The sequence below is a fragment of the Homo sapiens genome, chromosome 4, assembly GCF_000001405.40.
Source record: "Homo sapiens chromosome 4, GRCh38.p14 Primary Assembly".
Taxonomy (NCBI): Eukaryota; Metazoa; Chordata; class Mammalia; order Primates; family Hominidae; genus Homo; species Homo sapiens.
Genome location: NC_000004.12, coordinates 165,287,244 through 165,311,599, shown reverse-complemented (window position 1 = coordinate 165,311,599; position 24,356 = coordinate 165,287,244). Strand labels below are relative to the sequence as shown.

The window sequence follows — 24,356 nt, the reverse complement described above, 5'->3', positions numbered from 1 at the left end:
GCCACATGTACCTGAAAGAACTGTCAACACCTACCTCCAACAACACCCACACCAACACTGCTCCTCCTTGTATTCATGGGAGCTACATGAAACCACTCATTAGACTTTATGTTGTATGCTTCCACAGATGACAAACCTATAATAAAGCACAATAGTCTTCATTTCCTTCTCTAAAAAATGTCAATAGTTCATATATATGGAAAAATACTTCAGGTATGTTATACTGGGCTAAAATTAAGAGAAGAAAATGGTGGAACATAAACACAGCAATTACATGAAAAACAGGTACAGCTTGTTTTCCAGAAGGCTCCTACCTAAGCTACTGATATTTATAAGCTTTTAAAATTTGATGACTGATACTGATGCATAAGAAAGAAAATTTATATACTCACCACTCATATCATTTAAGGAAATTCTTGATAAAATTTTAAACTTATCTTTAAATACCAGTTAAAACCTCACATGTTGTAATCCCAGCACTTTGGGAGGCCGAGGTGGGCGGATCACAAAGTCAGGAGATTGAGACCATCCTGGCTAACATGGTGAAACCCCGTCTCTACTAAAAAATACAAAAAAAATTAGCCGGGCGTGGTGGCGGGCACCTATAGTCCCAGCTGCTCGGGAGGCTGAGGCAGGAGAATGGCATGAACCCGGCAGGCGGAGCTTGCAGTGAGCCGAGATTGCGCCACTGTACTCCAGCCTGGGCGACGGAGCAAGACTCCATCTCAAAAAAAAAAAAAAAAACACAAAAAACCTCACATGTGCCCTAATGTTGCCACAATTTATTCCATAAACATGACTACTACGTTAATTTTAGCAGCAATGTAGAATAAATGAAAAGGAAATTACCTGTACTCCCATCAAAGCCTCCCACAGCGTATAATAATCCATTTAACACAGCAGCTCCCAAAGTGCTTCTCCGGTCTCTCATGTTAGCAACGCTGGTCCACTGGTCCTTCACAGGGTCGTAGGAATCTACAGTGCGAACTCTTAATGAGCCATTAAAGCCACCAACAGCAAAAACAAGTCCAGCCATGTAGACCATGCCTGCAAAAGGAGTACAGCATTTAATGATCAACATGCAACTCAACTACCACCAATATCCAAAGATTGCTTTCTGATAAATCTATAGCTGTTGTCAGAACATGCTACTCTTAGGAGGAGCCTGATTAAATAAATCCTTGAAAATGCTATTCATTTGCAAGAACATCCAATCACTAAATTGTCTTTCTTTCTAAGGTTATTATTATTATTATTTCTTCCTTTCTTTATTTTGAGACGGAGTCTCACTCTGTCGCCCAGGCTGGAGTGCAGTGGCGCCATCTCAGCTCACTGCAAGCTCAGCCTCCCGTGTTCACACCATTCTCCTGCCTCAGCCTCCTGAGTAGCTGGGACTACAGGCGCCCGCCACCACACCCAACTAATTTTTTGTATTTTTAGTAGAGATGGGGTTTCACTGTGGTCTTGATCTCCTGACCTCGTGATCTGCCCGCCTTGGCCTCCCAAACTGCTGGGATTACAAGCGTGAGCCACTGCACCTGGCCTTCTTTCTAAGGTTATTAAAAAATGCAATGGCATGGGCTAAAGTACCATGTTGACTCTTGGTTTTTTTAAATATCAATTTACAAGCTTAAATAATGAGCCATTATTTTCCAACTACTTGAACCTGTACTCACCTCCCATAGCTTTCAATTTTGGATCTTCTAGTGGATATTCTTAGAATGAAACTCCATACGCTTATAATTTATTTGCATAACGTATTCCTAGTTTATCATGTTAGTGGGCTAAATCAGGGGTCGGCAAATTTACAGCTACAGGCTAAATTTGGTCCAGCGAACTATTTCTGTAGAACCCATAAGCTAAGCATGGTTTTTATATTTTTAAATGGCTGAAAAACAACCAAAAGAGGAATAATATTTCATGACATGTAAAAAGCTATATGAAATTCAAATTTCACCATCCATAAATATAGTTTTATTGGAACACTGCCACACTCATTCATTTACATATGGCTGGTTTTGCACTATAGCAGTAGATAAGAAGCTGTGACAGAGACCATATAACCACAAAGCCTAAAATACTTATTCTCTGGTCCTTCAAGAGAAAGTCTGCTGATCCTTGGGCTAAAGAGATATTACGGAATCAGTGAATGGAGAAACTAGACTGCTAGACTCAGGTTTCAACCATCTTTTCACTTTTCTCAACTTTTTTCATGCTGCTGTCCTAATCGGACAGGCTCCTATCACCATCTACTCTGTTCTCTTTAACTCTGAATCCTCAGTTAAAGTTCCACATTCTCTATGATGCCTTCCCTGTCCACTTTAGCCTAAAAGGGATTATGTCCAGCTCCCGAACCCTATAGCAAATAACATCTATGTTGTGTACTTCAGGTTTAATAAATGTACCGTCTATAATATAATTACTTTAAATTGTTCAAATTTTTATTGTTCTTAGTTCTATAATGTTTATGTCCCTGTGCCAGCCTGAGGGCAGGCAATGTGGCTCACAGTTCTCTGAATCCCTGTAGGGAGAACTGGAATCACCAGATATGTTTGACGAGCTCAATGTTTTGCAGATGTTATCAGGCAAGAGATGTACCTCTGCCCCTTACTGTCTTAACCTCTGGTGCTTTATTCCCCCACCCCTGTAAAAATACACGGAAATGCAGTCCTCCATATGGCAACAAGACCTTTCCAGTTCAGATGAAGTTGCCTGTTTTGGCCCCCTGCTAGCACAGAATTTAACAGACATCCTAAGAGGGCCTGGAGACTCGTGAGCAGCAACATACCAGGCAGCATGTTTCAGCATGAAACAATCCTGTATCCCAAAATCATAACTAACTCCAGGGAATGTTCATTGTGGGAATCTTGCCCATTGCAATTTTCATTTTCCTTTCTCTACCCACAAAATAACACTACAAATATGCCATCTCTTAGAAGTAACATAGTATGCTTACCAAGGTTTAGAGAATTTTAGGTCACAGAGAGGAAGAAAATAAATGAATCAATCTATGAAGTGCCCCCTACCAAAGGCTCTGGGTCTGGAGAAGGGACTGAACTAAAAGAAGTATGATAACCTCCCAAAGTTATCAGGAAACTGAAGTGCCCAGAAGTTTAATTACACAGTTTATTAAAATTTGGCCAAGTTTACACAGTTAAGGACATTGGCTCTAATCTGAAGGAGGGAGAGGAAAGAGGGCATGATGAAGATAAAATTTATTCATAGTTACCCAATAAGTAAAGAATACATTTTGCAATAAAATGAGTCAAATGACTTATGGCCTCAATGAAAAGGGAACTGTATTAGGAATCAGATATGAATTAAGAAACCAGTTAGTAAATGGCATACAAGACTCCATTTCAGATAGTAACGATAAAGATAAAACACCTAAAAATAAACTTGCCAAGAAACACAGAGGACCATTGGAAGAAAATGTTAAAAATCTACTGAAGGATATAAAAGAAGACAGGAGTCCTATCACTAGTTTCATAACATAGTAAAACATATTATAAAGCTCAGTAACTAAAATTGGCTTTGTCTTGATGCATGAATAGGCAAGACAAATCAATGGAAGAGAACAGAAAATTTAGAATAAAACCAAGTAAATGTGGAAATTTAATACATGATAAAGGCAGCATTTCATCAAATGAATGGAGACAGATAAGTCAATAAGGGGTATTTGGACAACTGACTAGCCATTAAAAACCAAAATCTATACCTTACATCTTAGACTAAAATACAGCCCAGATATCTTAGATACATATATTTATAAATAAAACTGTAAAGGTACTAGAACAACAAATGTTTTTAAAATATAATTTTGTCATAGGGTAGAAACCTGGCAGATACCACCTTAACCAAGAGAACAAGGTTACCCTCACAAAAAATAATCATACTAAGTCAATTTAACCATGGAAAAATATCAGACAAATCCAACTTGAGAGACACTCTTCAAAATATCTGACCAGTCCTCCTCAAAGAATCAAGGGCATAAAAGATAAGAAAAGACTCTGGGACTATCTCAGATAAGAAGATATGACAACTAAATGCAAAGCAGGATCCTAGAACAGCATAAGAGAATCAATGGAAAAATGGTAAATATGAAGTCTGTATTTCAGTTAATATTAATATGCCAATGCTAATTTCTAGTTTTGATAACTGTATCACAGTAAGATATTAATATTGGGGAAAGAATATACCAGAATTCTTTGTTCTATCTTTGCAACTCTTCTGTAAGTAAAATTATTTCAACATAAAGTTTTTTTGTTTTTTTGTTTGTTTGTTTGTTTTTTGAGACGGAGTCTCACTCTATTGCCTAGGCTGGAGTGCAGTGGCGAGGTCTTGGCTCACTGCAACCTCCGCCTCCCAGGTTCAAGCGATTCTCCTGCTTCAGCCTCCTGAGTAGCTGGTATTACAGGTGCCTGCCACCATACCCAGCTATCTTTTGTATTTTTAGTAGAGAAGGGGTTTCATCATGTTGGCCAGGCTGGTCTCAAGCTTCTGACCTTGTGATCGGCCCACCTTGGCCTCCCAAAGCGCTGGGATTACAGGCATGACCCACTGCGCCTGGCCCCACATAAAGTTTTTAAAAAATATGTTTGTGTGTGTATACACACACTCACACGCACATATAGATAACTTTGGCATATGGCTTTCTATGCAAGAAACAAAATTTTAAGTCCAGAGACACAAAACTTTGGTATACAGGACTACATTAAAAGATAAAGTTTTTACATGGCAAAAATAGCACAAAGTCAAAAGATAAAAGATTAATACAAATAAGTATTCACACTACATATCACAGACAAAAAGGCTACTTTCCTTAACATAACTGTATCTGTGACATCAATAAAACTATTAAAATGGCAAAAATCATGAACTGACAATTCAGAGAGAAAGATATTTAACTTCCCTCATAATTACATAAGTACAAATTAAGGCATTTTTCACCCACCAGATTGGCAAAGCTCAAAACATTTAATTACAAAGTACTGTCAGGAGTTTAGGGAAACTGGCACCTTCATATTTTACTGTTAGTGGGAGTAATAATTGGCATATCCTTTTAAGACATCCTTTGAATCAGTAAGTCTAGTTTATCCTGCCAAAATATATTAGCATATGTACACAATGATGTATGTATAAGAGATTTGTTGTAGCATTGTTTATAACATTAAGATTAAAAACATTTGTAATGCTCTATTAAAAACTAGTAAAAACTATGTCCAGACCAAAATAAAACACTAGACAGCTCTTATTGAATGAGGTAACTCCAGATATGCTGATATGTAACAATCTCCAAGATGTATTGTTAAAGTACTACCATCATAGAAACGTTCCATTACATACAGAACTCATTTCGCTATGGGAGACAGAAATTATGGATCCAAGTTTAAGTCCCAGGAAAAATTCTGAGTTTGTATAATAACTGCTTCTTTTGATCACAGCTTTGGCTAAATGAAAGTCTATTTCAACAAATGTTTGTAAAACAGATGCCTTGAAGAAGGCAATTATGCCTTATAACTGAGGGACTTAACAGTACCTTATAGCTGAGGGAATCTCCTAGAACTAAGGGTCCCAACCTAAAGAATTCCCCTCTCAACACTTCAGGCAAATGTAACTAGGAAATATCCGGCAAATTACTAGCTCTCCCACCTTACACTAAACAATCAGAAAGATATGTAAAGGTGGAGACAGAGTAGCTATCCCATCAATGTCTTGAGAGGCATATGAGGCCCCTGAATTACTGTTTAACTACATAGCTATTTTACTCAAAGCTTTTTTGATAGAGATTTTTCTAATTAATAAAATAAGACCTGAAAAAGAAGCTCCCAATGACCCAGGAGTAGAGAATTGACCATGATGCATCATGCTTACCTGCCCTGCACCTCCTGGAAGGCAACTCTGCTACTTGGTGCCACCTTTCTTCTTTAAAGTCATAGCATTCCACACTCCGGATAGCCTTTGGTGCTTGGCCCCCAACCACCACCATCAACTACAAGGGCAGAAATGTAAGCACTTGAACAAATGACTATTACATATTCAGGATTTAAAATGTCCTACAAAGACACTGGTGTGGGAAGTGTTAGGATGAAGATGATAGGGTGAGCTGGCGAATACAAACATCTAACCACCTAACCAACATTTCATAAACATCAACCAAGGGGACACACGTTAAAAATACAATTCTATCGTCCAGCACATTTAGTCAAAAATAAGGACTTCAGAAACTAAGTTTCTGATCCTTCAAGCAAAAGCAGTTATTTAAGCAAAAAAACAGCACGCAGTTATTACTGGCAAGGCTGCAGTATGTCATAGGGCTTGCTATAAACTAGATCCTGGTTTTTGCAATGACCAGGCATTAGAACTCCATAATCCAGGAGAGAAGATAGAAATGAAACATATGTTACTGGGTAGGTGAAGTGAAACGGACAGTAAGTATTAAAAGAAAGATGGAAGAAGGAAAAAAAATATTGAAAAAGGAGGAGTAATTGAATTGGAGCTCACAAGAGTACAGATTCCCGAATCTCCAGTAGAGACCTTTCCTGATGCCCCACAAATAAAACAACCTAACAGGACATGTAATGGAGATGCTAGATATCATAATGAACAAATACATAAAAGTCTACTTTTGAGAATAAATGAGGTCTATAAGTTCCCTCAACTCAATCCAACAACTATTTACTAAATGCCTACGGTCTATATGTGTCCAGAACTATGTTAGGTGTTATACATAAGAAATATAAGACATGGTCTCTACCCTTCAAGACTTGATAGATCTCACTAAGGAGACAAGACTTATGAAGTAACTCAAGAAGAGTACACAATTACATATGATCGAAAAATTATGTGATTAGTATAGACGTAACTGCTACTGCTGATCAGAAAATGAAAAGCTGCCGTAATTTAGTGAAAGCTTCCTGGAACCTGATCTATGGTCTTGCTAAATGGATAGAATTTAGAAATCAATGTGTCTGCCTTTTACTGAGTATGCACAGACACTCTCTGGCAACAGTGAAAATAACAGCCATCAAATCAGAATAATGTAAACATTAATGATGTCTCAAATCAAAAACTGTAAAGAATGGCAAGGACCTTCAGGAAAAGAAGAGATAATGATTGGAAAAATAGATGTTAGAAAGAAACAAAAAATAAAAACAAACAGAATATGGAGTAACTCATATACACAAAAAGAGGAGATTTGCAGCCTTGACTAGGCAATGACCTACCTGTACTTAGAATTAAAGAAAGATGGGTACAAAGCAAAAAATGATTCCTGAATCAGAGAGCAAATCCCAAATTTCCAAAAAGAAGCCCATTTTAGTTTTTGGTAACTGGAGAGCAGAATGAATTTTAAAAGTCTTAAAAGAAGACTGAACATAAACCAACTACATAATTTTTTTCAGGCCTGTTATTCTTCTTGGCCAGGTATGGTGGCTCACGTCTGTAATCCCAGCACTTTGGGAGGCTGAAGCGGACAGATCATGAGCTCAGGAGTTCAAGACCAGCCTGGTTAACAGCAAGTCCCCTTTCTCCACAAAAAATAACAAAAATTAAAAATTGGCCAGGCATGGTGGTGCACACCTGTAATCCCAGCTACTGGGGAAGCTGAGGCATGGGAATCACTTGAACCCAGGAGGTGGAAGTTGCAGTGAGCCGAGATTGCACCATTACACTTCAGCCTGGGCAACAGAGTGAGACTCTGTCTCACAAACAAACAAACAGACAACATTTTGGTTGGCCAGGCACGGTGGCTCACTCCTGTAATCCCAGCACTTTGGGAGGCCAGTGCGGTTGGATCGCTTTGAGATCAGGAGTTCGAGACCAGCCTGGCCAAGATGGCGAAACCCCGTCTCTACCAAAAATACAAAAATTAGCCAGGCATGATAGTGCGTGCCTGTAATCCCAGCTACTTGGGAGGCTGAGGCATGAGAATCTCTTGAACCTGGGAGGCAGAGGTTGCAGTGAGCTGAGACTGCACTAATGCACTCCAGCCTGGGCGAAAGAGCGACACTCTATCTCAAAAAATAAATAAATAAAATAAACATAATTAATAAAGAAAATATACAATACCCTCACCTCTGACCACCCAAAAACGGCGGGGGGGGCAAGGTTGTAAAAATTACAGAATTGGGATGCATGTTAAGATAAACCTTGTATTTAGGGTTCTGTTCAAAACTTCAAAACTGCCCAAGAGACAATAGTTGAAAGAGTCTTAGATGATATATCTGATGAAGACCAATTTTTCTAAAATTTCAGAAGGGAACATTTTTTAAATTTTTTGATAAATAACACTGAGTTATAGATTTCATAATCCTCAAAGTTTGAATATAAGATTTCTATTTCCACGCAATAGTTCACTTTTACACATTAAAATGAAGATGAAAAGGAAAACTGTGCTATTACATACAGAGAACAGTAGTAATATTTGTCCTTTACTCACCCAAGAGAGGGAAAATGGGGTAACGATTTGGGTCTCCAGGAATCAGGGATAAAGGAGACAAGGAGAACGTGCAATGGGGGGACAGGAAGGCAGGAATATTTATATAAAACCAAGAGACTGTGTCATAAACCATTGTGTGGCTACCAAAAGAGTTGCTCATAATGCTGACATCCCAGTTATCTGTAAAAGACACAGGTATTTGAGAAACACCATACTAATTATGCTATGAAGGAACAAGAAAAGAAGACCTTTTGTAAGGAAAAGTTAAAAGTAACATATTTGAAGAGGGCAAGGGGTAGGAGGTTAAGCAAATTCACTAATCATCCTGAAATGTACGTCAATTAAACTTTGTTCCTTTTATTTTACCTATTAAATAAATATTAGTTGAAAATTAACTCCTGAAAAATCAAGATTCTAACTGAAAACTTCAATAAATATACTGGGTAAAAATATTTTTAAAATATAATATATACCCAGAAATATGACAGCCCTTATAAAAATACAGATTCCAAAGAGAAAAGCTAACAAAATACAAAAGAAGCAAAACACACACAATTTTTATTATGATGTGCAAATCCAAGGATACCTTATACAATCTGTTTATTGAGAAGCCAAAACTAATGTCTGAGATATGAAAAGAATCATTCATGCAAATTAAAAATCAGAGTGTAATATAAAAAGTACTAATTCACTCTCATGGTAAAATATTATCAAAACCTTGTAATTTCTTCAGCACGACTACCACATTTTGTTCAATTTGACTCATTATTACGATGATAAAAGGCATCATTACTATGAAATAATAAGCATAAGAAATTAATCTTTGCTTCATTCTTACCCAACTCCTTAGACTTAATCTGAACATAACAACTCTAAAATGACAAATGGTGGTGTTGGAAAATTGTTCATCACCAGCACCTTTTCGAAAATATGTGTGGATAAACAAACACACTGAGAAGGGATCATACAAGTAAACATGCAAAGTCAAAGCAACAGGGCTGCTCACTGCTATCCAGCAAGTCTGCTGCCCCACCCACCACCCTGATAGAGCAGAATGAAAGAGAACCTCCAGGGACCCACATACCCAGCACAAAATAACAGCTAGAGAACTGAGAAATCTAAAAGTATAACACAGCTATAGGAGTCCTACTCCAAAACCACAACCAGAGAAGTCCAGGAACAATGTAAACACAACACCACAAAAGAGAAAGTAAGTACTTGATAGGCTTTTACCGAGAACTCTAGGTTTCAAAAATGACATGTTTATTCCAGAAATCAAAAATGAATTCACTTTCACTCTAAAGGTCTCTGCAGCATAGCTAAATATAGGAAAGTCTGAAGATGCTAGAGGAAGGAATATACAAGAAGAAATTCTTTTTTACAAATATGAAGTATTTAAAAAGTATTAAAGATATAGCACATTATTTAGAAGGAAGTTGGAAAGACTTACATAAAATAATAAAATAAAATAAATGGCAACCTTAAACTCACTGCCAAGACTGAACAATTTTTATAAATGGATTATTTTGTAAGAACAAAAACTGACACCAAATAAGATGGACAAATATGAATTAATGAAGACTTAAAAGATGGGTACTTATAAAAGCAGGTGTAAGGGTATTTGAAAAATGTAAACACATATAAAATCAGCAGACCTGGCATGAATACTGAGGTATTAAGGGAACTAGCTAATGTACTTACTGAGCCACTTACAATTATTTCTGAAAAATCTCAGAGAACTGAGGATAGATCAGAAAATTTAAAGAAAGCAAATACCAAATTTTCAAACCAGGATAGGAAGTGAATACCTTGTAAATACACTTTGTTAAGTGATGATAATTCTGAGTAAAAATTTAGAAGATTTTGAGAAAAGCATTTGAACTTCTAGGGGCCAATAAAATACCATGCAGAAGAATGTTTAAAAAGTCATGCCAAATTTGAATCCATTTGATCCTCAACCTCATCAGATGTTATATGCCAAACTACTTATTTTGGCTTAGATAATAATCATATAGAATGAAACTTTCCACAAATAGACTGTGTCAGTGGCTGGCTACTTCTAACAAGGTGCCACCAAGAGAGTTTTGAGATCAATTCTAAATTAAAATATTTGCTAACGATCTAGAAAAATAAGTCAACAGCATCCTGGCAAATCTGCAGTTAGTTATAAATTGAGAACTGTTGTTAGTAATAGGCAAAACAGAAAAACAATACCAATATAGATTTGCAGCAATTAAAAATGTAGACTCCAAAGTAAAACTTAGAAAAATATTAAAGTATTAAAGTGAAAGAATTTAAAAAACAATTCAATGGAAAGGACAGAGTAATAACTGAAGATGATATAAGAAAACGAGAGAACAGATTCTTATTTCTTAATCCAGCATTGCCCGAAACATATACAAGAGTTAAAAATAAATACATAAATAAAGTCTTTATATTATGAGTCATTCTGATTAGACCACGCACAAAATGGTGCTTAAAGTATTGGTCGTACTATAAAGATGTAAACAGAGCAGAAGGAATTGCCAACAGAGACAGAAATGAGGGGTTATTTCATAAGAAAAATTGAATTGGTAAAATATGAATGGCCACAGCTAAAAAGACCAAGGTAGAATATAAACATTCACATAGGAAAATATGAACACGAGACACACGGGAAGACATGGGAATGTATGCTGAAATGGCTACATATGATGTGCAGGGAACCATCAAATGGTATACAGCAGGGAACAGCAATGAGATGAACTGAACAAGCTATTTTTATCATCTGTAGTTCTAATGTGTAATTCTGTGAAACTACTGGGTTTTCAGTTATTAAACAAACACCTAGCTTACAAAATAATTCTTTTTTTTTTTTTTTCTTTTTTTGAGACAGAGCCTGTCACATTGTTGCCCAGACTGGAGTGCAGTGGGCACTCCACTCAGCTCACTGCAACCTCCGCCTCCTGGGTTCAGGTGATTCTCTGCCTCAGCCTCCTGAGTAGCAGAGATTACAGGCACCTGCCACCACACGTGGCTAATTTTTGTATTTTTAGTAGAGACACGGTTTCACGTAGATGGCCAGGCTGGTCTCAAACTCCTGACCTCAGGTGATCCACTGGCCTCAGTCTCACAAAGTGCTGGGATTACAGGCATGAATCACAGCACCCCAGGCCTACAGAGAAATCCTTCTACCTGGTCTGATTTTTTTGGACTATAATTAGAGCTTTCTACTATAATTAGAGCTAATAAAACTCAGAGGGGACAAAAACCAGTTGTCTTCTGTTCCAGAAGAGTGACATCATGCAGTTTATAAAAATTAAACGGACCAAAGAATCCCCACCCTTAACATATAAAATCAATAGAGGTTGAATTACATACACTACAATGCATTCTTAGGCACATTTTCTCTTGAAGGAAAACTAAAACAATAAATCACGGAAATTCAAATGAGCAAAATACTAACAGCTTCACTTATAAGCCTTTTGCATGAGGTAATAACAAGCATGAGAAACAGATCCTACTTTGGGAAGGTTCATGGGTGTCCTCAGCCGGGTCCGGACACTCTTCATTAATATACGCTGCTCTGTTGGCAGCAAATGGTACTTCATTGCTTCAATGAGGTAATCTTTGCAAGCACTGCTATTCTTGACCAATGCTTCCTCTTCAACCCTCTGTAACAAGAAATCAGACACACCCACTGAGGGTAGGGCTATTTCATAATTAAATTGCCAAAGAAAAAGAAGTAAAGGAGAGGAAAAAAGCAGTAACTATATCCTTTAGTTTAGTCTAAAAATAAACGAGGAAAGTTTATAAATACATCTAAGAGAAAAATAAATATAACCAAAAAATGCTCAAGTATCTGGCCTGCAGAGAAAAACATATATAGGTAATAAAAAGAAGAACCACAGTGAAAAATGATAAACTTCAATGTTAGCTATGGAATATGATGAACTCTTCGGATATTATATCCACCTGTGTATCTTTAACCTTTAAGACAAAAAGTAAGCAAAACAAGAAACAAAGTTTAGATAATACATCCTTCAGGTGAAGACAATACTAATAAGTTAATGATACCTTTTTCAAACACAAGTGGGCAAGTAAAATATCCCAAAAAGAGATTAGAAATACCTTAAAGCAACGTACCCATAACACAAATAAATCTTGTACTGCCTAGCCTGACCTCAAACGCAGGACAGGCTTCTGGGTTCGTTTTCTTTTTTCTGGGGGGGGAGGGGGGGCGGGGGGAAGGGAACAGAGTCTCACTCTGTTGCCCGGGCTGGAGTTCAGTGGTACAATCCTGGCAAACTCCACCTGCCGGGTTCCAGCAATTCTCCTCCCTCACCTTCTTGAGTAGCTGGGACTACAGGCACCTGCCACCATGTCTGGCTAATTTTTTGTATTTTTAGTAGAGACGGGGATTCACCACGTTAGCCAGGCTGGTCTCGAACTCCTGGCCTCATGCCTGCCTCCGCCTCCCTAAGTGCTGGGATTATAGACGTGAGCCACTGACCGCACCCACCCTTTTGGATCATCTTCTTAATACCAGAAGACCCATGATTACACAGATCACAAAAAGTAATGAGATTTCAAGAAATCCTAAAATGTTCAAATCTAATTTCTTAATAAATGATTCTTTCAATGGTTTCAATTATTAAAATAATGCTGAAATGTTCCTAGCGGGATTCTAATAAAAAAAACAGTAAATTTAAAATTATTTGGAGACCACTAAAGAATCATTTTTCACATTTATTTCAAATAATGTTTTCCCTCAGCTTAGAAATAAAGACAGAAATCAAATGCATGCCACTATTAAATTACGAAGTAAAATTAAACGGTATTTGGGTCAGACCTCAAAATTCCAGGTCTGCAGGGGAATCAGAAGAGACTATGGAAAGAAAAAAACAGTAAAGAAGATGCAAAGCAGTGACTGCCACAGGGACATTTATTTACATGTATTTAAGTGACCACAAATACTACCTTGATAAGCTCTAGTACTTGCTTACCCAAATCAAAAATAGGGGCAAAAGCAAATTTCTAAGAACGGGGAATGGTGGCTGGGTGTGGTGCCTCACAAGGCCTGTAATCCCAGTAGTTTGGGAGGCCGAGGCGGGTAGATCACTTGAGGTCAGGAGTTCGAGACCAGCCTGGCCAACAGGGCAAAACCCCAACTCTACTGAAAATACAAAAATTAGCTGGGGTTGTAGCATGCACCTGTAGTCCCAGCTACTCAGTAGGCAGAGGTACAAGAATCACTTGAGCCCGGGAGGTGGAGGTTGCGGAGAGCCGAGATGACGCCACTGCACTCCAGCCTGCGGGGTCCTTTACTGTCTTCTGTCCTGTACTCCACAGATCTGCATTCTACAGCTCTTATCACTGCTTGATAGGGATCTACATGCTGTCAGGCCAGTGACACAGTGCTGTGTGGATTCATATGTTTTGCATATGCATTTACCTGAACTAAATATTCCCGAGGAAGCAAAGGTAACCGTACATGTTCCATCAGTCGGGCCATAAACTCTTGCCTCACATCCTTGTCATGGTTCACCCATGCTATTACTGCTTCAAATACCTTGCAGAAAATATAGGAGAAGAAAAAATAAGAAATGAGTTGTGTATCAAGGCATCTGGATAAAATATGAGACTACATTTTATATATAACTCTTGCTAAGACATCCAAGTTTAATTCACAGCTCAAGTGTTTTCAAAATCCTGACTTGCAATGTACTTACAAAGCCATTCACCCCATTTCTTTTCTGTTCTTTTTTTTTTTATTTACCCAAAATAATAAAGCAAAGTGATATTCTGGAATGAAAATCATGTATCCTTATAAACAATTCATGTTTGGCTTTTTCTTCAGGTTTACAAACAAATGTTAGACCATACACATAAATCGAAGGTTTGTACAATAGATCGACTCAGCTCTGTAATAGCAGAATATATTAAAATGTAGTATTTTGAAATTTTTTTTTACAAATTAAAAAATAAGGGCATTATTTTTTACAATACATAATTGTGAGAAAGCTAATAAGCTAATATGAAGACACTGTTTGTCTACATAATTTTCTTCTCAACTGATGAATATATCACTTAATAATCTTTAAAGGTTTGCAGGAAATGTTTGACAATATGCAATTGGATAACTGAGACCAAAAATAGGTTATTTTGATCCAGGAATAAAGCAAGAAACTAATTCTCTCATACTTTGTGGATCAGCTTACATTTTGGCAACCTTTTATTGATTTCTGCAAATAAATAACAAGAATGAACAGAATGGAGGTAGTAAAACATTTTGCAAAGTTTGAAAAAAAAAAGCAAGAAACTAAAAATAATGCACATTAAAATTAACACCCCTCTTTAATTCATTCTGTCAACAAGTATTTATCAAGTGTCTCTACGTGCCAGGTGCCAGAGATTAGGTGAACAAGATAGTCGGCCTTCTGGCAATTCTATCTAATATTTCTCAGTTCTGTCTTCTCTCCCCCCTGCTTCTATCATCCCATATCGGAACCTGCTGCTCACTGGTATGACTTCAACATCCTCTCATCTGGCCCTCACCTCATTTTTGGTCCATACTGCCCACCACCACCAGATAGCTAGTCTCCAAAGATAGCCTCCTAATAAACCACATCTCCCAGATCCATACCCTTATATAGTAACCCTCCACACTGAATCTAAGCTGGCCCTGTTAACCAGTAGAGTGCGGAGGAAGGGACACTGTGCAATTTCTGAAGGTAGGTCTTAAGCAGCCTCACTACTTCTACTCTGCTCTCTTGAAATGCTCATTTGAAGGAAGCCAAATGTCATGTAAGAAGTCTGGCTACTTGAAACCACCACACCATGAGAAACCCATGCAAGTTACAGAGAAGAAAGGAGGGGAGAGGAGGGAGACCTAGAGAGAGACCAATCAACCGGGAGCCCCGGAGCCAGACAAAAGTAGGTGGAGGAGCCACCTTGGACATTACAGACCCATAAGATGCCATGTGCAGAAGAACTGAAGCTCCAGATCTATGGCTCCAGTAGAACCATGCCAGGTATCTCCAGGCATCTGGGTCACCTTAGCCGAGGTCTCAGACACTGTGGAGCAGAGACAAGCTGTCCCTATTGTTCTGCATGAATTCTGACCATAGAATTGTTAGCATAAAATGGTTATTGTTTATGCTTTTACATTTGGCAATGACTTGAGTAGCAGCAGAAAACCAGAACAGCCCTCATGATATTTCTATAATGCAGGTTTTGGCATGGTTTTCTCCTCTGGCTTAAAACCCTTTTAAGGCTCATCACTACAATACAGTTAATTTTCTTTAACATAGCTGAGAAGATATTTTATTATATCATCTTCTAATTTTATCTTCCACCAATGTCTCATATTCTAAACTCCCATCATACTGAACACATTGAATACAATTACTCTTTCATATCTCTTTACATTTGTATATTCTGCTTCTTCTACCTGGAATGCCCTCTGCATTCCCACCCATCCCTATTTCTCTGGCAAACTCAGACTCATTTTTAAAAGACTTGAAATATACATCTGAACCAAGTTGAACTACCATCCCCATACCTATCCCATTCCTGGAAAAGTTAAATGCTCCTAAGGCACCCTTTACAGCATTCTGTAATCAATTATTTACTCTACTGGCTGTCCCACTAGTCTATGAGTAACAAATTCTATTCTGCTAATCTTCTCTTCTCTAGGAGCCCATGGCAGTGTCTGGTACATGGAAGGCACTCAATACATGTCTATTAAGTGTGAAAGTAATGTCATCTTCCTCTGTATTTCTAGGATGCTAAGATTATATATGTCACAAATGCTTTCACATTTTTTAATACTGTAAATATTAGAGTAAATGTGTCTTTAACCCCAGGTGAAATGAATAGCCTTGAGAAAGAGAATCAGAATTTACACAACTTGAAATGCTAAGCACACAAAGGAGAAACTCAAGTTTCATTTCCTCTAAGCACAGCTTTTGTGCTCTGATTCCCGTGTGCTACAAAACCCACCCAAGGAAAAACAGCCCACTAAAAGGAGCTTCTCTCTCCAACTATACGAAAAGTGCAGGTGGCTGACAAAGGTAATTCAAAACGTGGAGAGACAAAAGACTACAACCAGAAGCAGTAGCTGCACAGAGAGGGAGGGAGGCAGGGAGGGAGAGAGTCAGGGAGGCAGGCAGGCTGAACGGACTGGCAGGGGTGAGGTATTATGTCACAGGAAATCAATCTAAAGGAAGGTGACAATCAAGAATGTTCAGTCTAGAACTACCAAAACTTCGCCATCCTAGGTAACCTCTTTCAACTCAGAAGACAAGGAAACTAATTTAGTGACAAATATTATGTTCACATCATAATTCCTACAGGCATTGAGTTGTAGGAAGAAACTAGTTTCCAAAAAAGCATTTGTTTCAGATAGTCTAATGTGTGCAAGCTCTTGCTGTGGAGGTCAAGTACAAAACTGTAGTGGCTAAAAATTTAGGGAACCTCCCACAAAGTGAAGACCGGGAGTAATTTACATAGACAATCAACAAGTCCTGAGTTTCTTTTTTTTCTCCTGGAATCCTTTCCTGAAGTAACTAGCTGAGTTTCTTAACTTCCAGTTGAAACATCACTGGCTGTCACTACACATACAGGATCACAAAGCTATAAAAAAAAGTGAAATTAAAAAAAAAAAAAGGGAAACATCATTGCACACTGGGAAAAGAAAAATATCCTTACCTTCTCTTCTGAAGAAATGGTAAGTTTGTCACTTGAGATTAAGCTGCACACTTGTTCGATGCCAAGATTGAGAAATTCTTCACTAAGTACAACATCTGCAAAATGTTGCTCTGTTTGGGAATTAAAAAGAAAATCCACTAACATCAACATTCCATTATCATAGTTTCAAACTGCTTAAAAAAGGTTTTTCTTAATTTAATCTAACTTAAGAATGAGAAAACCAATTGCACACCTCCAGGCAAGAACTAACAAGACAAACCCAAACAAACTCAGAGACACCTGGGGATGTACCTTCAGTGATTTGTTTATACAACAGCACAGTAGCAGTGCAAGGAGGGAAGCTGCCTTAATATACACGCACTTAGTTGAATCATTCTTGTTTTACATGGTGGTATTTTAGGCTTAAAAAAATCTATTCCTTATATGGTATGACACCATCAGTACTTAAATTTGTAAAACCTTTTGATTATATAAATCAGATAAAGAACATGATGTCATATTGTCATATCCTACATGTCATATCATGTGAAACATTAGAGGGTTGTTCCTTATGGAGTAAGGAAAAAAGCCCTGCTTTATTTGGAAACTAAAGAAATCTCAAATGCTAGCCAATCTGAATATATGACCAACATTTTTTTAAAAAGAGAGAATTGGGCCGGGCGCAGTGGCTCATGCCTATAATCCCAGCACTTTGGGAGGCAGAGGCGGGCGGATCACAAGGTCAGGAGATCGAGACCATCCTGGCTAACACAGTGAAACCCCGTCTCTACTAAAAATACAAAAAAAAAAAAAAAAAAATTAGCCAGGCATGGTGATGGACACCTGTAGTCCCAGTTACTCAGGAGGCTGAGGCAGGAGAATGGCAATGAACCTGGGAGGCGAAGCTTGCAGTGAGCTGAGATCGCAGCACTGCACTCCAGCCTGGATGACAGACAGAGCAAGACTCCGTCTCAGAAAAAAAAAAAAAAAGAGAGACAGAATTGGTTTATGATATAGATAGCTCTGAATTCTAAATAAATAGTTTATTTCGGATCAAATTCCAGGATTTTATGCCTCAACCCATTTCCAGAAACTTGTAAAATTAGTAATTCTTAAATACTTAAAAAATTTTTTTCCCTTGATTTCACAAATATGGCCACTCTTCCCAAGGGGAAAAAAGATCGCTTCTTGGCCTTTTGGCTAAGATCAAGTGTAGTATCTGTTCTTATCAGTTTAATATCCGATACGTCCTCCATCCAAGGGGGGAAAAGACTATCAGTGCAATGATTGAAAACCTTACAAAGAACGAATCTTTTGTAAAATAACCTTTCTTGCAAATCTGCCTCACAAGGGAATGTGGTGGTTTGGGCTGCGGATTCAGACATACCAGGGTTGAATCCCAGCTCTGCCATATGCTAGCTTGTACAACCTTGGGCAGTTAACGTAATTTCCCTAAGCCTTGGTTTCCTCATCTGTAAAATGAGGATAATAAAAATAAGATTGCTGTGAGGATTAAATAAGCTAGTGGTTTATAAAGCACCTAGAACTGTGTCTGTAGAGAGTAAGGATTCAATAACTTAGCTCTTGTTAATATTATAAATTCTAAAGTAAAATTTTGCTAGAAAATCTAGGTTAATTTCTAGGTCGTCACAATGAACCATATTTATTTCACCTTATAAAACCCTTATAAATAGAGTTTATAAAACTGTTTTATAAGGTGAAATAAAAGATTCATTTCAAATATGTATTTCAACATACCATAAAAAGGAACAGTTGGCTTCCCCTTCAATGACATTTGAAAAATAAAACCTGCATTTTCATAAATCTCATGAAAAACTATTCAATTTACAAAAGGTTGGCAGGGCATGGTGGCTCACGCCTGTAATCTCAGCACTCTGGGAGGCCAAGGTGGGCGGATGACCTGAGGTCAGGAGTCCAAGACCAGCCTGGACAATATGGCGAAACCCCGTCTCTACAAAAAATACAAAAAGTAGCCAGGCATGGTGGCACACACCTGTACTCCCAGCTACTTGGGAGGCTGAGGAGGCAGGATTGCTTGAACCTGGGAGGAGGAGGTTGCAGTAAGCCGAGATCACGCCACTGCACCCAAGCCTGGGCAACAGAGTAAGATTCTGTCTCAAAAAAAAATAAAAAAGTTCACCCCAAGATAACTATAAAAAAAACAAGCAGCTCTAAAATGTTTGTATTTACAAAATTTTTTGAAACTCAAAAGTTTTTTGACACACAATTGTTTAAAACTCAGACTTGACAAAGCAAGGTATTGCACTGAAATAAATATGAAATTGAAGATGTAAATGACAAATACAGTTGGATCTCCATATCCACAAGTTCTACATCTGCAGATTCAACCAACCGGTGGTTCAACCAACCTCAAATCAAAAATATTGCGAAAAAAATACAATAAAAAACAACTATAGCACATACACTATATTAGGTATTATAAATAATCTAGAGATTATTTAAAGTATATGGGACACCGAGCACAGTGGCTCACACCTGTAATCCCACCATGTTGAGAGGCTGAGGCAGGAGGACTGCCTAAGCAGAGGAGTTTGAGGCTGCAGTGAGCTAGGATCACACCACTGCTCTCCAGCCTGGGCAACTGGGTAACGGCTTGTCTCTTTAAAAAAAAAAATTAAAAATAAAGTATACGGGAGGATGTGAGTAGGCTGTATGCAAATACTACCCCATTTTATATAAGAGACTGGAGAACCCACGGATTTTGGTACCTGTTGGGGGTCCTAGAATCAATACCCCATGGATGTGGATACCAAGGGATGACTGTAGGTCGACACAACAGAATAGAGAGCCCAGAAAGAGACCCCACAAAAACACAGGCAACTGATCTGTGACAAAGAAGCAAAGCCAATTCAATAGAAAAAGAAGAGTCTTTTCAACAAATGATGTTGCAACAACTGAACATCCATATGCAAAACAGTAAATCTAGACACAGACTCCACTTCTCACAAAAATTAACTCAAAATGGATCAGCAACTTAAATGTAAAACACAAAATTTAGCTTCTAGAAGATAACATAGGAGAAAATTTAACTAACCTTGGGTATGGCAATGACTTTTTAGATACAACATCAAAAGTATTATCCATGAAAAAAAAATGGTTAAGTTGGACTTCATTAAAATTAACAACTTCTCTGCTCTGCAAAGGATGCTCTTAAGAAATTAAAAGACAAGCCACAGACTGGGGGAAAATCTTTGCAAAACACATATCTCATAAAGGACTGTTACCTAAAATATAAAAAGAGCACTTAAAGGTCAAGAAGAAAATAAACAACTCAACTAAACAATGGGCAAAAAGATCTAAATGGACACTTCACCAAAGAAGACATATACAAATGGCAAATAAGCACATGGAAAGATGCTCAATATTACATGTCATTAGAGAACTGCATATTAAAACATCAATGAGATACCATTTACGTATCTATCAGAATAGCTAAAATCCAAAACACTGACAACACCAATTCTGACAAGGATGTGGAATGACAGGAACTTTCATTCACTGCTGGTAGGAAATCAGTTTGGCAGTTTCTTCCAAAATCAAACAAACTCCACCCCCTGGGTTCAAGCGATTCTCCTGACTCAGCCTTCTGAGTAGCTGGGATTACAGGCACCTGCCACCTCATCTAGCTAATTTTTGTATTTTTGGTAGAGACGGGGTTTCACCATGTTGGCTAGGCTGGTCTCGAACTCCTGACTCAGGTGAACCTCCAGGCTCAGCCTCCCAAAGTGCTGGGATTACAGGCATGAGCCATCACACCCAGCTGGATTATAGATTTTAAAAAGCCATCATGATTAATTGCAAAAGTACCTTCTATATCTAAAATATAATCCCGCTAATTCCTGACTTTACCAGAAGTTTATATAAAAAAATTATACACTAAGGAAGTTTTCTTTATACACTAAGAAAAAAGGGAAAACTTTTTCAATAGTTGAGTTTGTTTTTTAAAGACTGAACATATTTAAACAAACAAACAAACAAAAAACAAGGTTCTTTATATTAAAAGTTCCAAAGTAGGCCAGGCGCAGTGGCTCACGCCTGTAATCCCAGAATCTTGGGAGGCTGAGGAGGGTGGGTCACTTGAGTCCAGGGGTTCAAGACCAGCCTGGCCAACATAGTAAAACACCATCTCTACAAAAAATTAGCTGGGCATGGTGGTGCATGTTTGTAGTCCCAACTACTTGGGAGACTAAGGTAGGAAGATCACCTGTGCCCAGGAGGTCAAGGCTACAGTGAGCCATGATCGTGCCACTATACTCCTGCCTGACAGAGTGAGACCCTGTCTCAAAAAAAAACAAATAAAAAAAGAGCTCTAAAATATTGAGAAATAAATTCATTTTAATGAAAAGCTGGCAAACAGCATATAAATTTAGAAACATTTATGAATACCAACTTGGAAATTCAAACAGAAAACACAGCAGCCACTGAACAAAAGAGAAGCTAACATAAATCTCTTTCTATCCATTATAAAAATATTTTCACCTTCAAATGTATGTCTACAGTGATTTTGGGTTAAGTTTCTTCTGTATATTTTAAATCTGAATCAAAGCAAGAGATTGCTGGCCGCCTTATGCTTTTCATGAGGGGAAAGAACTCTCCAGTGGTAACAAACATAACTGAGAGAACTTTTCCATACTGTGACTACATGTTATCTTAGTCTCTGCTTCACTGACCAGAAAAAAATGGACTTGCTAAAAAGCCAACTTGGTGGTGATTTTTTAAAAGTCAGCAATTACATAAATGTAGAAGGGCATTAGTAAACTCTATCCAAAACCAAGTCTGGGATCTAAATTCATTGTGTATTCTTTCCTAGTGTATCAAAGAAGGTTAAGAGGGCAAGGAAAATAGTCAACTATTACAACTTTATTGACAAAACCATAACACAGCTGTCACTCAAACACCACCCCTTCACCACTTACCAAAAAAAAAAAAAAAAAAAAACCAAACCAAAAATTAGCCTAAAGGAAAAGTGAAGAAGAAATGTTCAAATTAAAAGTAACTTTCATTGTGTACATATACATGTTTTTAAATAATTCTAATTCTCAAATACTTTTATTTTCTATTGGAACAATCCCTCCTCCTTAGAAAAATTTTTAAGTATTGATATCTAATGTTTACATTCTTATACTGAGCTTTCTTTGGAAAGGATGTGGTTAACATATATGGAGCATTACTAAAATATAGAGGGCACTATTTGGCAACATCTGGAGTAAATTAGTTTACTTTAGGGCCTGCCTTTCTTCTATTTATATTAACTGTATATTTCTTCAAGTGTTCTACAGTATTTACTGATAGGCAATTTAATGAGATTGTTGCTTGTAACACACTTCCTAAGGACCCAACACTTTACACAGTCAGGAAGCACTAGATGACTGGCAAAGTCACTCTAAGGCATGCATGGAAAATTCTATAGGAAGAAAGGCAAGAAGCCTAGTGCAGCTCACCTGTTATTTTATATGTTCTTGATGCCAATCACTATTAGTCTGTCTGGTGCTTAGTTCATGACATTAAATGCTCTTATATTACCACTAGTACTAATAAAAATGATGTAACATGAACATTCCTTCCCTGGCCTCAAGCCACAAAACCATGAGGATCAAAGTTAAAAAAAAAAAAAAAAGCAACAACCCTATTATGAAACAGTATGCTATTTCATACTGCTGGTGGGAGTATAAATCAGCACAATCTTTACAGAGAGCAATTTTGAAATCTCATCCTACAAATATACTTGACCACTCATGAAATGACACACTCTGAGTTATTCACTGTAGCACTGCTTTTAACAACTACAAAAGAGAGTTCATCAGTAGACACTAGTTTAAAACATAGTATATCCATACAATGGAATATTCTGCATCTGTAAAAATGAACAAGGAAGCTCATGATATGAAAAAAGCTTTAGGAAATACTGTCAGCTTAGAAAGGAAGAACGACAGATGTGAGAATGCATTTTTTCAGTGGCTAGATTGTTTGTTCTATGAACCATGTGAATGGATTACTTATCCTCTCCATGCAAGAAAACAAAACAAAACCGAGAAACTAATAATAGTGATTATCTTTAGAGGGGAGAGAAATGAGGAACAAGGGTGAAAGGATGACTCTTTCAATGTATACCGTTCAAATATTTTTAAATCCTCATGTATATGGTAAAATGATCTTTGACAAGAGTGCCAAGACCACTCAATGGGAAAAGAACAATCTCTTCAACAAATTGTGCTAGGAAAACTAGACATCCACATAGAAAAGAATGAAGGTGGATCATATACGCCATACACAAAAATTAATTCAAAATGGACTAAGGATCTAAATGTAAGACTCAAAACTATAAAATTCCTAGAAGTAAACACAGGGGGGAAAGTTTCGTGACACTGGATTTGTCAATAATTTCTTGGAAATGACACCAAAAGCTCAGGCAACGAAGACAAATGGGACTACATCAAAGTTAAAAGTTCAGTGCATCAAAGGACACAATAAAGAAAAAAGGCAACCTGTAGAAGAGAAGAAAATATTTGCAAGTCATGTATCTGACAAAGAGTTAATATCCAGAATATAAAAATATCTCCTACAACTCAACAACAACAAAAATCAAATAACCCAATTTAAAAATGAGCAAAGGACTGGAATAAACGTTTCTCCAAAGACGATATACAAATTGCCAATAAGCGTATGAATAGATGATAGATGTTCAACATAACTAATCATCAGAGAAAATACAACTCAAAACCACAATGAGATATTACCCCACACCCATTAGGGTGGCTACTAGCAAACAAACAAACAAACCAGAAAATAACAATTGTTGGCAAAGATGTTAAGATACTAGAAACCTTGTGCACTGTTGGTAAGATTATAAAATAATGCAACTATTATAAAAAAAAGCATGGAGGTTACTCGAAAAATTAAAAGTAGAACTACCATATGATCCAACAATCCCACTTCTGTGTATATATCCAGAAGAATGGAAAGCAGGGTCTTGAAGACATATTTGTACACCCATGTTCACAGAAGCATGACTCACAATAGCAAGAGGCAGAAGCAGGTATCCACTGATTAATGAATGGATAAATGAAATTGGTATATACATACACTATATATACATACAATTCCTTAAAAAGGAAGGAAATCCTGTCACAATGCAACATGGATGAAGCTTGAGAACATTATGCTAAGTGTAGTGAGCCAGTCACAAAAATAAAAAAATACTGTA

General features: G+C 37.4%; 1 protein-coding gene and 1 non-coding gene across 13 annotated transcripts in view, besides 1 other annotated feature; one reads left to right on the top strand and one right to left on the bottom strand.

Annotated features, from left to right (window-relative positions):
* KLHL2 (kelch like family member 2) overlaps positions 1-24,356 on the bottom strand; it is a 115,596-nt gene that overhangs the window by 11,557 nt on the left and 79,683 nt on the right. For 11 of the 12 annotated variants that reach the window (XM_047449560.1, XM_017007674.2, XM_011531572.3 and 8 more), the window contains 6 exons: positions 17,132-17,241; positions 13,875-13,991; positions 11,944-12,093; positions 5,875-5,992; positions 850-1,047; positions 35-136 (listed from right to left, as the gene is read on the bottom strand). In XM_047449560.1, coding sequence (XP_047305516.1) covers positions 35-136; positions 850-1,047; positions 5,875-5,992; positions 11,944-12,093; positions 13,875-13,991; positions 17,132-17,241 — 795 coding nt within the window. Of the gene's footprint in view, positions 1-34; positions 137-849; positions 1,048-5,874; positions 5,993-11,943; positions 12,094-13,874; positions 13,992-17,131; positions 17,242-24,356 lie in introns of those variants that run through there. The other variant, XM_047449562.1, reaches the window with a different exon arrangement.
* Positions 16,295-16,344: an enhancer, noted in NCBI's record as "active region_22118". NCBI's record gives its function as "activates an Ori minimal core promoter by ATAC-STARR-seq in GM12878 lymphoblastoid cells {active_cell/tissue: GM12878}" and the evidence as "EXISTENCE:reporter gene assay evidence [ECO:0000049][PMID:35858748]".
* LOC124900915 (U2 spliceosomal RNA) lies at positions 18,291-18,477 on the top strand. The gene has a single exon (XR_007058555.1). It is a non-coding gene; the product is annotated as a U2 spliceosomal RNA (small nuclear RNA).